Source organism: Homo sapiens, chromosome 8 (genome assembly GCF_000001405.40).
Source record: "Homo sapiens chromosome 8, GRCh38.p14 Primary Assembly".
Classification (NCBI taxonomy): domain Eukaryota; kingdom Metazoa; phylum Chordata; class Mammalia; order Primates; family Hominidae; genus Homo; species Homo sapiens.
The window spans coordinates 27385414-27399104 of NC_000008.11; the positions used below are offsets into that span (position 1 = coordinate 27385414).

General features: G+C 45.6%; 1 protein-coding gene across 43 annotated transcripts in view, besides 3 other annotated features; it reads left to right on the forward strand.

Annotated features, from left to right (window-relative positions):
- PTK2B (protein tyrosine kinase 2 beta) overlaps window positions 1-13691 on the forward strand; it is a 148886-nt gene that overhangs the window by 74908 nt on the left and 60287 nt on the right. For 42 of the 43 annotated variants that reach the window (XM_047421544.1, XM_047421545.1, XM_047421552.1 and 39 more), the window contains one exon: window positions 12135-12375. In XM_047421544.1, the coding sequence (XP_047277500.1) occupies window positions 12172-12375 (204 nt within the window). In that variant the 5' untranslated portion in view covers window positions 12135-12171. Of the gene's footprint in view, window positions 1-861; window positions 935-12134; window positions 12376-13691 lie in introns of those variants that run through there. The other variant, XM_047421542.1, reaches the window with a different exon arrangement.
- Window positions 2277-2326: an enhancer, noted in NCBI's record as "active region_27151". NCBI's record gives its function as "activates an Ori minimal core promoter by ATAC-STARR-seq in GM12878 lymphoblastoid cells {active_cell/tissue: GM12878}" and the evidence as "EXISTENCE:reporter gene assay evidence [ECO:0000049][PMID:35858748]".
- Window positions 7316-7445: an enhancer, noted in NCBI's record as "active region_27152". NCBI's record gives its function as "activates an Ori minimal core promoter by ATAC-STARR-seq in GM12878 lymphoblastoid cells {active_cell/tissue: GM12878}" and the evidence as "EXISTENCE:reporter gene assay evidence [ECO:0000049][PMID:35858748]".
- Window positions 7758-7897: an enhancer, noted in NCBI's record as "active region_27153". NCBI's record gives its function as "activates an Ori minimal core promoter by ATAC-STARR-seq in GM12878 lymphoblastoid cells {active_cell/tissue: GM12878}" and the evidence as "EXISTENCE:reporter gene assay evidence [ECO:0000049][PMID:35858748]".

The following is a 13691-nucleotide window of genomic DNA, read 5'->3' on the forward strand; positions in this document are numbered from 1 at the left end:
TCCTAGGCATCTCTTCTCTTGTCACATTTCATTGAGATATCTGTCTATCCTATTTAACCCAAGCCTGATTTTGGATAGGATCCAGAAATCTAGGTGAATTTCAGGGGCCTGGTTGCTTCCTCATCTAGCTTGGTGGTAAGAAGCTCAGCCCCTCTCTGTGGGCCATGTGGAGAGTACAGAAAATAAAACTGTATCAGGGCCGGGCGCGATGGCCCATGCCTGTAATCCCAGCACTTTGAGAGGCTGAGGTGGGCTGATCACTTGAGGCCAGGAGTTCAAGACCAGCCTGGCCAACATGGTGAAACCTCCTCTCTACTAAAAATACAAAAAATAGCTGGGTATGGGGGCGGGCACCTATAATCCCAGCTACTCGGGAGGCTGAGGCATGAGAATCACTTGAACCCGGGAGGCAGAGTTTGCAGTGAGCCAAGATCATGTCACTGCACTCCAGCCTGGGTGACAAAGTGAGATTCCGTCTCAAAAAAAAAAAAAAAAAAAGACAGTATCCGAGGAGGAGATAGAGATTGATGCATAGGAGAGAGGTCCAGTTTTTATCCTTGTGCAATAGACTTTACACATTTCTAAAATATATTTAACCAAAATAACAATATTATAACTGATGTAACTTAAGATCTTTAACTGCATGCAGTTCTAAATGTGGATTGTGTTTTTATGTAGTTCTAATCAGTATGTAAATTTCATTCTCTGTCACTTAACATTTTTATATAAATCTTTTCATGCACTACTCATATTTTTATCATAGTTTTTCATTATTGCTAGTGCTCCGACTTCCCCCTGAGCATTTTGTTTTGATTCTCATTATTTCACTACTATAAATAGTACAGCTAGGAACATCTTTGTGCAAATGCTTCACACCCCTCGCCTTGGATAGATGCGGTATGTTTCCCAACGTTGGGTAGCAAGATCAACACATGTGAGTTATTTTGTATTTAACTTCCTTGCTTCAGAAAGCCAGTTCTGAGTAATTGGCAATTGTACTAGTTCATTTCAAGTCCATGAACATAAGTTTTTCTTTTTTTTCCCTAGGTAACTTGGCTTGTTTAATAGGTTTATGGTGGTTCCTTAAAGTTGTTTTTATTAGCATTTTCAACTGCTGAGGGCTTTTCTGTCTATTTTTAATTTTCTCAAGTCTTTTCACACACAGGTGGCATCCTGTTTGCTTGAAGGGGCATTAAAATTGCTGTTTTATCCAATTTGCATTAAAATGAAAACTAAATACATCTACAGATTGGGGCTCGGTCATGTTGAATGGTTTTGAGGTCTGTTTACATAAAGCAAATGTTTGGCGTATACTAGGTTTGCAAAGAGTGGCAGACTAGGGGGTTGGCAGGTGAAGCTTGTTCAAGACAATGGTTTTGTTGGTTTTAAGGTGTTGAGAGATGGTGGGCTACATCTGTACAGTTAGACTTGGGTTTATACTTTCTAGTTAAAAAAAGTACCTGAGGTTTTTTTTTTTTTAATCACCTACTTTTTTTTCTGTTTATTACATGTATCATAAAATATACCTTAATCAAGTCCTACATATCCATGACTATATACATATTAACATGTCAAAAGTCTGCATTCCTTTCCATACATGTATGAGGAATTTGTGTTTGAGCAGAATTCTGGGGGCTACATCAGAAAAGCAGGTTCATCTGGGCTGTACTCTTTGGCACAGAAATAAGCTTGATGTGTGGAGACCAAGCTCAGATCAGGGGTGGAGGGAAGGTTGGGGGTCACTCACTGCTGGGATGTAGGCTGTGGACTGTGTTTGTTGGGGTACAGTGGAAAATCTGAGCTCTGGTCTTATCTCTGCCACTGAAGAAAGGGGACCCCAGGCAAGCTGCTCAGTCAGTCGCTTTTCCTCATCCTCAAAATGGGAGAGCAGCCTGCCTTGGGAGATATCAGTGAGGTAGCAAGGGTGCAAATGCTATGAAGGGAGATTCAGCATGTGATATGCAAATGTGAAGCTCCTCTTCCTCTAGCTGTTACATTTCTTCTTAACGTTGATTTGGATGAAGGAGTCAGATCCATCTTTCACGGGACAGTCCTACAACCGTTCAAAACCAGCAATCCATCCTGCGTTCCCATGACTCACTCTCTCTTTGGTTTTAGGGGTCTGCACCATGTGATAGGGCCTTGTTGAATGCCCTTGCCCTAGAAGACGGCCTCTCAAACCCCAGGCCCTCAGCTTTCACTGCTGAGGTGGGATCGTGTGTGCAGAGCCCAGAGGGAAATCACCATAGTTTCTTAGGGGTTTTCTGGTAATCCCAACACTACATTAACTTTTTTTGGCAGCCACATCATAGTGACTAACAGTGAATTTACAGTTAGCCTAAATCCTATTTTTTAATCCATCCACTGCTAAACCACATCTTTCTCATCCTAGACTGGGGAAGGCTTTTTTTTTTTTTTTAAATCTACATGAAGAATGGCTCATTTATCCCACTTCACAAGTTGCGTTTTGTTAAACTTGGCATGACTTACCAGCCTGTGAGGATTTCAAGAACTTTTTTTGATCCTCTGTTAAAGCCATAATCTCTCCCAATCCTGTGCTCAACTTGATGCTTCTTGTTTAATAACCACAAGCTCCTTCATACCCAATTAAAAGGCGTGAACAGGAACAATTAAAACAACAGTCTGCCATCCAGGTTAATGCAGACATTTGATTAGCAGTCTTTAGAAGAAACCATTTGACCAACTAGGAATTCACCTGCTATCATCTGACCTCCTTGTTAAACTCTCAAGAAAATGGGGAAGAACTCAGACAAATTGAAGCATTGATTCATCATGGTACCAAATTTCTCCGCTCAGCAACCAACTTTGTGACCCACTCAGAGGGGGACATGAGATTTGCAGGAGTTGGAGGTTGAGAGGGAAGGAAAAAGCTGAGATCATGATTTGAAGAGGAGAAGTTGGAGGATAACTTGGTTTGGGGTTAAAGATGACAAAGAGTGTGGTTTTGAAAATAACAACTTTCAGAGGACTGGAGAGTAAGAGAAAAGAAGCTCTTGGGAGGAAGGGGCACATGGTAAGATGCTATGCCCCCATGCACCTTGTACATTGTTGTCTTGAAGTACTGGGTGGTGCCACCACTACAGGCAACAAGTGGGACATCAACTGTCAGAGGTGGCTTGAGGCCAGGGACCCTGAGATCTGCCCTTTTTGCCCAGTCTGTCGCTGTTCAGACAGTGGTGTGCTGGAACCAACTCTCACAAGCCAATGGTGTCCATTTCTCCCCAACTCCCCTTTCAGTGCCATCATGCTGGTGGCTTGGAATCAGCCACAATGAAAGTATTTACACCAGAGAAATTGGCAAGTGCTACAAATCAAGGCATCCTTCTCTCAGATTGCCAGTGGCCACACACACACCAGGCACTTATTCTCGCTGCCCCTGTGGCCTTCCAGCTCACACCTGTGCTGTATCCTTGTGCCAGATTTATATTTTTAAAATGAAAATCTGCTTTTCCATGGATGATGTTCAAAAATTTCTTAGCAGATTGCCACCTTCTGGTCTCATTTCCCAATGACCCCTCACCCACCCTCTTCACCAGCCCTACAGGCAGCATGTCATGGGGTTTCCTGATCTTTCTGGGTCACTTTTTCCTAAGATCCTGAGGCCCAGTAGGCAGGTTCTCTTCTGTGATCATCTGGTCCCATGCTTAGAGTTCTATTAGAGACCGTAGCAGGCTGTGGCTGTTTTTGTGTGTTTTGTTCCGTTTTATCTTTTTTCTTTTTACTGGATTATGATCTAATAGATGGGGACCTTCTTCCCTCTTCTGTTTATCTTCATAGCTCCAGGTCTGCTATGGTTCCTGAAACATAGGAAGGCAGAGAGAGGAGGGAAGGAAGGAAAGAAGAAAGGAGGGAGGGAGGGAAGGAAGGAAAGAAGGAAGGAAGACAGGAGGGAAGACAGGAAGACACTCCAGCCAAAAGGCATTCATGACCTGGCAAGTAAGGAGCACAATGAGTATAATTTTTGAAGAACTAAGAGAAGAATGGAGCCCAGAAGTCAAATAGGAGATAAGAAAAATCTGGCTAGCTGCAGGGATCAAAGGCTTTGAGGGGAGGAGAGGTTCCTTTAGCAAGAAAGCCCAGGGTAATGCATCCCTGTTGCTCCCCTCCTGCCCCGCAAGACCCCCCCAAGCCAGCTGGCCTCTGAGCTGGCAGGAGCTGGCAACAGGGGGACTCCCAGTGGGTAATGGGTGCGGGGGTGGGGAGCTGAAAACGTGGTAAAGTCTCAACAAATGCGTTTTGTATTACATTCAATTATAGCTGGCAATAATCACAACCTTTCTGGTTCTTTCCTCCGCAAGGTAATGGGGAGAAAGCCTTGGAGAGGAGGGAGGTGATTTAGCAAATGCTGGACTGGAGGGCCCTGGAGCAGGCAGAATGCTGGCCCTGCGGGAACTGAGGGCTGAGAGGGCTCTGGTTGGGGAGGGGGCACTGTGAGGAGCCAGCAGGGCACAGCCTTGCCCAGAAACCTAGGACCAGCTCCCTGAGACTGCAGGGTCATTGCCAATTAGTTAAGTGGCTGCACTCAGCAGGCCTTTGGGATAGGAAAGGGCTGCGTTCTCCATCTTGTTGATGTGGAAACAGCAAGGGGAAGTGATTCAGAGGCGGAGTGGAAATAAAGTGTGTGTCTCGTGACATTGTGACTTCTGCTAGATCCAAAGGGCTGCACTTGACTGTCTCCTGGGAAGCTTCCTTCCATGGACAGGCGCCTGTGGTGCTTTCGAGACAGGCAATGGGGCTGTGCAGGAGCAGAGGAGAGGGAGGCATGATCTGTGGAGGTGGGGCAGGTGCATGGAGGAAGGCAGGGCTGGGTGAAAAGGCAGCCTCAGTGCACGGAGCACTGGAGGTAGAAGGGGCTGCCACAGCCACCTGATCCTGCACTTAGGAGGTCAGTTTAGATTTTTTAAAAGTCAGGTTTAAAGGCCAGGCATGGTGGCTCATACCTGTAATCCCAGCACTTTGGGAGGTTGAGGAGGAAGGATCACTTGAGGCCGGGAGTTCAAGACCAGCCTGGGCAACATAGAGAAACCCTATCTCTATACAAAATAAAAATAAAAAATTGAACTAGGCATGGTGGCATGTACCTGTAGTCCCAGCTACTTGGGAGGCCAAGGCAAGAGGATCACCTGAGTCCAGGAGTTTGAGGCTGTAGTAAGATATGATCACATCCCTGAACTCCAGCCTGAACAACAGAGCAAGCCCCTATCTCTAAAAATTAATAATAATTAAAATTAAATTTCAGAATTAAAAAGTGGGTCTTAGTATTATGTTTCTAATTCTCTCTTCTTCCAAGTCACAGACACTTAAAAAATGTATGTGCCAAGGAGTTTGCAGAAGTAATGGAAGTAACCTCTGATACTCCAGAAAATTCTGCAGGATAAGTAATAGTGACCTCATGCCCCAATGGAGGAAACTGAGGCCTACAGAGATTATCTTGTCCAGATCACACAACGGGTCCATGGCAGAGACTCAAGGCTGCCATGTTGTCACACTCACGTAATGGCCCAGTTGTATGGCTTACCAGCCCTGAAGAAAGTGGTTTAAATCCAGGTTTGAATGAGTTAAATGTACGCGCCTTCTCCCTGACATCATACGGCCTTTCTGACTAATGGGCCCCTTTCCACTCTCTCTCAAATCAGGAACAGAACCTTTTTTTTTTTTTTCTTGAGGTGAAGTTTCGCTCTTTTCCCCCAGTCTGGAGTGCAATGGTGCAATCTCGGCTCGGTGCAATCTCGGCTCACTGCAAGCTCCGTCTCCCGGGTTCAAGGGATTCTTTTGTCTCAGCCTCCCGAGTAGCTGGGATTACAGGCACGTGCCACCACACCCAACTAATTTTTGTATTTTTAGTAGAGAAGGGGTTTCACCATGTTGATCAGGCTGATCTCAAACTCCTGATTTCAAGTGATCTGCCCACCTCAGCCTCCCAAAATGCTAGGATTACAGTCGTGAGCCACTGCACCCAGCCAGGAACAGAACTTTCAGTCCTCAAGACCATGCATTTTATGTTTGGGACTCTCAGCATCCCCTCTGGTGTCTGCCTCCCCAAGAGGCTAAGCTGTTTACTGAACACAACATGTGTAACATTACCCTACAATGTCTTCAAAGGCAAGAGTTAAGTTTTCCTGTGATATTTATTCCTGTAACCCTAGCATCTCCCCTGTGCCAGGGGCACAGTACTAGGTGCAGTTACAACCTGGTGCATCTGGAGGGGACGTAAATGCTGCTTCAGTTCCCCCTCCTGCAGGCAGGTCAATGTCTTGCCATTCAGGAAGAGCATAATTTATTTTCTTCCTGAAGATCTTAAGAACTCAGAGATTGTCCATCCTCCTGTAGTACCCTTTGCAGATTTTGGCCAAGAAGTTCTTACAGACAATCAGAAGTTTTCCTGTTTTAATTTGAGCCCATTTCTTGTGTTTGTTATTCTTTGACTTTGATTGTGGCAGATTTGGGGGCCAGGAGGCAAACCGAAGCCCAGGATGGCTCAGAGCCAGGGTTTTCACTGGTGCCACAGGATGTAGTCTCCTCTGACTCTGCTCCGACGGTCTGGGGCAGACCAGGAAGCAGGGAGGACAGAATGCCAGGGCTTGGAGAGCCAGGAAGGTCTGGAGAAAGGGGCAGAGTTTTTGGCTCATGAGTTGAGCATCAGAGGATTTTGTGATCATTAAAGGCCAGAGATAGGCTATTGACGAGTAGTTCAAATAATCAGACAATATTTAGAGGCGTGAACAAGTTCTATCATCAAGAAGAAGAGCTGGAGTCAGCAGATTGTTCTCATCTCTTCCCAACTCAGCATTCAGTGGTGATGTGCATTGGTACCTGAAGGTCAGTCATGGTGGGAATTTTTACACTACGGAAATTGGCAAGTTCTACAAAGCGAGCTTTTTTTTTTTTTTTTCTGGAGCACTACTGACAGGAGGAGCAAGATACAGGGAATACAGGTCATCAGACAAGATTTTGGAAAAAAGGCAAGTGAAAATAGTCATGATGATAGAGCCTTTCACTGGTGTCCCACTTTATTGCTTACGAGGAACTCTCACTTATGTTTTCTCACTTCATCTTCACCACCCTTCTATGAGGAAAACAGGGTAGGCAGCATTACCCTACTTTATAGGGGAGGAAAATGAGGCTGGGATAGGTAAAGTTACTTGCACAAGATTTTAGAGCCAGTCAGAAAATGAGCTGGGAGCAGAACACAGGCAGGGTGAGCGCAAGGGAAGATGGCATGGAATTGAGAGCTATGTTCTCTCAAGAACCTGAAGAGGGGTGGCAGATGCCTTCCTTTCATGGAACCGTTCATTTACTTTGCTTCAAAGAGTTCTGAGTGTTCATTACAGATCTGTGTCTACAGCTCAGAGTTTTGGGTGCACTTGAGGAAGTTGCCATGTGTCAATAGAGACATGGGCACCACCTTCCTGGGCCTGAGGCTTTTGATCAAACCTATATTCTAGTGTTGAGTCCGTCTAGGACCTCTCAAGACAAAGTCCTGGCACAAGAAGGGTGATTATCTCTAAGCCAGGAGAGGTTCTGGATTCTTCACTGACTGGGAATATTCGATGCTAATTGTCATCTTTATCTTTCGTGGAGTTTGTGCCGCCCTTAGGGGATTTCACCTTCTTCCAAGGCAGCTGGGGAAGTGGGAGAAACTGTGGGTTTTGATTAAAACCTGGTTTGGGATCTAAGTTTGCTACTTAGCAGGCATGAATCCTTGACCAAATGGCTTAGACCTTTTTGAGTGTGTCACCATCTGTAAAATGGCCATCTTCACTCCTGCCCACCTCCCAGGATTGGGCAGCAGATTGTTGTGCAAAGAACTTGTGTTTCTGTATAGATTTTTAAATTGTAATTACTTTTGGAATGAGCATCCACAGCAGATGTTTCTGCTGCAAAGGGCTAAAGGGAGAACTGAGGAACTTGCATCAGGCTGAAGGTAGAGGTAGATTCTGGGTGACAGAAATGACTGCTGAAATATTTCTCCTTGAGCTATGTTGGTGACTGCAGTTAGTGGCTCTTGAATCAGGGGCCAAGGGAGAGTGAGGAAGATAAGACACCAGAGTCCTCCAAGCACGCTGATGATGTGTCTGGGTGGGCTGCATTGGGTCTGATGTACAGTGTGAATCTTTCTCTTTGGTCAGGACCGATATGGGAGTTGGCTCCTGAGTGGGCTAGACCCTGCCCAGCCAGGCTGCGGAATGGGAGGACAACTATCAGGGTGTGGTTTCTCATTGCTACATTTTTTTCTTAATAGACTATTTTTAGAGAAGTTTTTGTTTCACAGCAAAATTGAGCCGAAAGTGCAGAGTGTTCCCACATGCACCCTGCCCTGACACAAGCACCGCTTCCCCCACTATCAACATCCCTCACCCCCCAGAGTGGCGCATTTGTCACAGTCCATGAACCTGCGTGGACACATCATGATCGCCAAAGATGTCCAGGGGCCTCAGGGCCATAGGCTCACTAGATACAGTATATCCTGAAGCTGGGACCTGCTGTATGTGTGTTGCCTCCATAGCTGCATATACAGTCACCTGTCACTTAAGGGTAAGGCTGCATTCTCAGAAATGCATCATTAGGCAGTTGTGTGAACATCAGAGTACTTAGAGAAACCCAGATGCTACAGTCTACTACACACCTGGACTATTGCTCCTACAGACCTGTACAGCAGATTACTGTACTGAATACTGCAGGTAATTATAACACAATTGAGGGTATAAATACCCTAGATCCCTCACTCTCTGGGTTGGGTACATTCTGTCCTGGTTCCTAGAGTTTCCAGCAGGATTAAATGGCAGTTGCCCAAGTGATCACTTACTTGATCACTCTTTTTGACTGTTTTCCCTTCCCTATCATCATTTCTCTGGTTTACTTACACAAACCTAGATGGTACAGCCTAGACTATATGGTATAGCACATGGCTCCTACAACCCTATACAGCAAGTTACTGTACTGAATGCTGTAGGCAATTGTAACACAATGGTAGGTATTTGTGTATCTAAACATAGGAAAGGTACAGTAAAAATACAGTGTAAAAGATAAAAAATGGTGCACCGGTCTAGGGCACTTACAGTGAATGGAGCTTGCAGAACCGAAAGTTGCTCTCGGAATCTGCGAGTGAGTGTGAGTGAATGTGATGGCACAGGACATTACTATGCACTACTGTAGACTTTATAAACACGGTGTACTTAGGCTACACTAAATTTATTTTTTAAAACTGTATTTCTTTAGTAATAGATTAACCTTAGCTTACTGTAATGTTTTTACTTTATAAACTTTTTTTAAAGCTTGTTGATGCTTTTGTATAATACTTAGCTTAAAACACATGTGCATTGTACAACTGTACAAAAATATTTTCTTTCTTTATACCCTTATTCTATAAGCTTTCCATTTCTAAAGATTTTTATTTTTTATTTTTTTTACTTTTTAAACGTTTTTATTAAAAACAAAGACACAAACACACACATTAGCATAACCCTACACAAGATCAGGACCATCAGTATCACTGTCTTCCGCCTCCACATCTCGTCCCACTGGAAGCTCTTCAGGGGCAGTAACAGACATGGAGCTGTCATCGCGTATGAGAGTAATGTCTTCTTCTGGATACCCCCTGAAGGACCTGGCTGAGGCTGTTTTACAGTTAACTTTTTTTTTTATAAGTAGAAGGAGTATACTCTAAAATAATGATAAAAATTATAGTAGAGGAAGTACATAAACCAGTCACATAATCTTTATTATCATTATCAAGTGTTATGTACCACCCGTAATTGTATGTGCTAGACTTCTCTATTCCTGGCAGTGTGGCGGGTTTGTTTATACCAGTGTCACCACGAACACATGAGTCATGCGTTGTGCTCTGACCTTGCCACTGTTATGATGTCACTAGGTGAGAGGAATTTTTCAGCTCCATTCCACTCTTTGGGGACCACCATCTTATATGCGGTCCACCATTGCCTGAAACATGATTAAATATGCCATATTGTGCTGTGTGAGTATATTTGCCTGTTGTCTCTCTGACTAGAGTGTGTGCTCTTTAGGGAAAGGCATGCTTTTCTCATCTTCATACCCTGTAGCAGGGCTGCCACTGTTCCCTCCTGTGTCCCCTGGGCCCTGCCATTTCAGTACAATCCTCTCTTCTACCCACCTGCTGCCAGCTCTGCACCTCTGTGCCTGAGGACTTTCTCAGCTCTCCCTTGTGCAGAACTGGCTGGATATGCTGGAACAATGACTGTAAGAGTGGTGTATAAATACCCCAGATCCCTCCCTCTCTGGGTGGGGTCCATTCTTTCCTGGCTCCTAGAGTTCCCAGTAGGATTAAACTGTGGTTGTGCAAGCGATAACTCACTTGATCACTCTTATTAGCTGTTTTCCCCTCCCTGTCATCATTTCTCTGATGTTTCCTGGGGTTACCTCTCAAACGACTTCCCCCTGGATTCCTTGTTGAAGGTCAGGGGATCCGGGTTACATCTTCACTACATAGCAGAGTATTGACACACAGGACATGTCCAGCAGATGTTTGTTGGAAAATGGTATGGATACCTCTAGAATAGACAGATACTTCCAGAATATATATATATCTTTTAGATAAGAATATATATATCTTAAAGCAGATTGCATATTCTTCTCTCCATAGGTCTTATGCCACATTTTGCTGCCCTTGTGGACTCTGAGCTTGGTGCTGCCTGTTGTCTGCCTGCCCCTGACCTGAAGGACATGCCCAGCTCCTTCTCTCATCCTTGCCTCTCTTTTGCATCTTCGTAATACATATTCACTTTTTAAAAAAGGAATGGCTCTTTGAAGCTAATGGCTATCTAAATCTTTCTTTTCTATTGTCCAGCACAGTGTGAATAAATACATACAGGCTATGATTCCACTTTTCAAATGTGTGACTCCATGTTCGTGTTTTAACATTGTCAACTCCATCATTTTGCCCCCAACTCCTGGTCAAGGAATTTCCCTCCCTCTAAAATCACAGTCTCTTCTTAGAAAGGGGATATTTTTCTTTAAGAAGGGGTTTCAGGATAAGAGCTAAGCTCGTTCTAGAACAGTGGTTTCCAACCCAGGCCAAACGTTAGAAAAGTCCTGGGAAACGAATATGTCAATGCTCAGCCCAGACCAATTTGACAGCAGTGTCTGAGGTTAGGGCTTGGTTTAGGGTTTCTGAAAGCTTCCCTAGTGATTATGTGGAGCTAAGGCCGATGCCATCCATCTAGAGCTAGAATATCCACTTCTTCCTTTGGGCATTCCCTGCTTTAGATCAGTGGGAGATAAACCCTACTCTACTGAGTTGTATTGGACCTAGAGGCCAGGACCAATGTTGCTGATTCAAGGTGAACTACAGATTCCTAGGATTCTTATCATCTACATCTGTGTCAACCCAGGCTGTCTGCAGAACTGGGCTGGGTTTTCTAGAGTCCCAGCTCAGCTCCTTCCCATGTGCAGCATGCCCTTCCCTGCGGGGCTGCTGGGCAGAGCGCTGTTCCTCTTGAATCCTCCTGCATGTGATCAGTGATGTCTATGTGATGAGCTCCTGTCAGACGGAAGCCTCCCACCCTGAAAGTTTTTGTTGGCAGCTGAGGATGGGGGTGGACAGCATCAGTTGACAGCCTGGCCCTCCACCTGGGCCCTTTCCTGCCTTCTCCATTCCCATTCCCTCGGGGCCACTTCTTCTCCAATCTGTTTCTTCTCAGATTTTCCGCCTTGTCCCTGTTCCTCTCCTGCTATTTTCTACTGTCTCACTCTTTGCTTTTTCTGCTCAGCTGTGCCTTGGAACCAAGCTGTGACCGCCTTCTCTCACAGCTGCCTTTGCTAAGGGTGGGCCCCTTGCCTGGGTGCCAGGGTGGAGGGAGGAATGGGTCAGAGAGAGGGGCTTCCAGGAGACAGAGCTCATACCCCTGGGAGCCCCAAGTCTGGGTTTCATACCTGGATGCTTCTGCAACTTGCCCCTTTCTGCTGCATCTTTCCCAGTCAAGAGAGCCAGGTGCCTTGCAGGGGAGCTTTTGGGAATGGGAGAATATATAGCATTTGTGTCTGTCTTGGAGCTCGGTGGGTGCTGTCCCTGGGGCCATGAGGTATGTGGGCCTGTGTGGGGCTCTTTCAGGGCTGACCCTCTGCTGTCTCTGCAGGACTGCAATGTGCCGATCTTAGCTGCTGCCTGAGAGGATGTCTGGGGTGTCCGAGCCCCTGAGTCGAGTAAAGTTGGGCACGTTACGCCGGCCTGAAGGCCCTGCAGAGCCCATGGTGGTGGTACCAGTAGATGTGGAAAAGGAGGACGTGCGTATCCTCAAGGTCTGCTTCTATAGCAACAGCTTCAATCCTGGGAAAAACTTCAAACTGGTCAAATGCACTGTCCAGACGGAGATCCGGGTAAGTGTGAAGTGTCTGCCCTGTCCATCTGTCTGTCCCTCTGTCTTCTTCCTGGGCAGCTGAGCAGCTCTCCTGCAGCCTCGCAGCTCTCCCATATCCACCCCTGGGTGGAAGAGGTGAGGTGGCATCAGAGAGATGTGCTCAGCCTGCATCACCAGGCCTGCTCTCCAGATGTTCCCATACTACTTCTCTAGGAGCCTGGGAAACACATGTTGTAGCCTTTGCTTGAACCCCAGATAATTTGTTTGGCCTCTGATTCAATTCATTTCAACTTATTAAGTATTTATGATACTTGAAGCTCTGCAAGGGACTTAAAAGCTGCTGTCCTCAAAGAGTTTACACTCTGATGAAATAGGAATTAGAGATACACAAGTGATTGCATTAAAAATAGAACAAAACTGGTATAAGCCTTGTGTGCTGAGCATGTACAGGAAGGCACTGGTGGGGCACTTAGAGGATGACAATGAAGTAGAGGTGCTTTGAGCCAGGTGGAGGGTTAACAGGTGCCCTGCCTGGCAACACGTCCTTTTGCTCACTCCTACCCAGAATCACAACATCTGTTTTGCAGGTCCAGGTACCCACCTTCATCAGGGCACCTGGACACCAGGATGCCAGTTCACCTTAACCAAATGTATATGAGATTGTCATCATAAGCAGAGCTCCAACATGCTGAACTAATTTCAGTCATCTACATTTATTGAACAATTACTGTGTGGAGCCTGGGCCAATCCCTCTACACACATTATTCCATTAAATCTTCCCAGCATCCCCATGAGTAGATACACTGAGGACATACCTTTCCTCTGCCCAGAGCACCCCTTTCTGATGATGGGAGGGAAATCCAGATTGGTTCTCAGGTTGCTTAGTGGGTAATTTGAACAAAGGAAGCAGGAACTTTTGGGAAAGCTAATCAGGTCTGAGGACATGGGATGAGCCATCTCCAGCTCATAGCCAACCTTTCCCATGTCCTGAAAGCCAGTGTCCCTAAACTCCATGAATGTTTCCTTTCGTTAGTACTGCTGTGCCCTGGCCACATCATCCTGGCTGCCTTCCGTCTGCTATAGCACACGCTGTGCTTCCACACACCAGAGCAGAGTGTAATTGATTATGTCACTGTCATGGCCAGTTATCACCATTGATTACAGTTTGATTGGCTCTCTCTGTTTCCTGTAACTGATTTGATTAGGGCCTTGTTTGCTCATCTTTCTGATATAAAGGCACAATTGTGTCCTGAGAGTAAGCCCTGGTCATCTTCCTCCAGGAGGATGTTTTCCTCTCTCTTTATCCACTTCATGAGTCTTCCTTTGGGTATATCA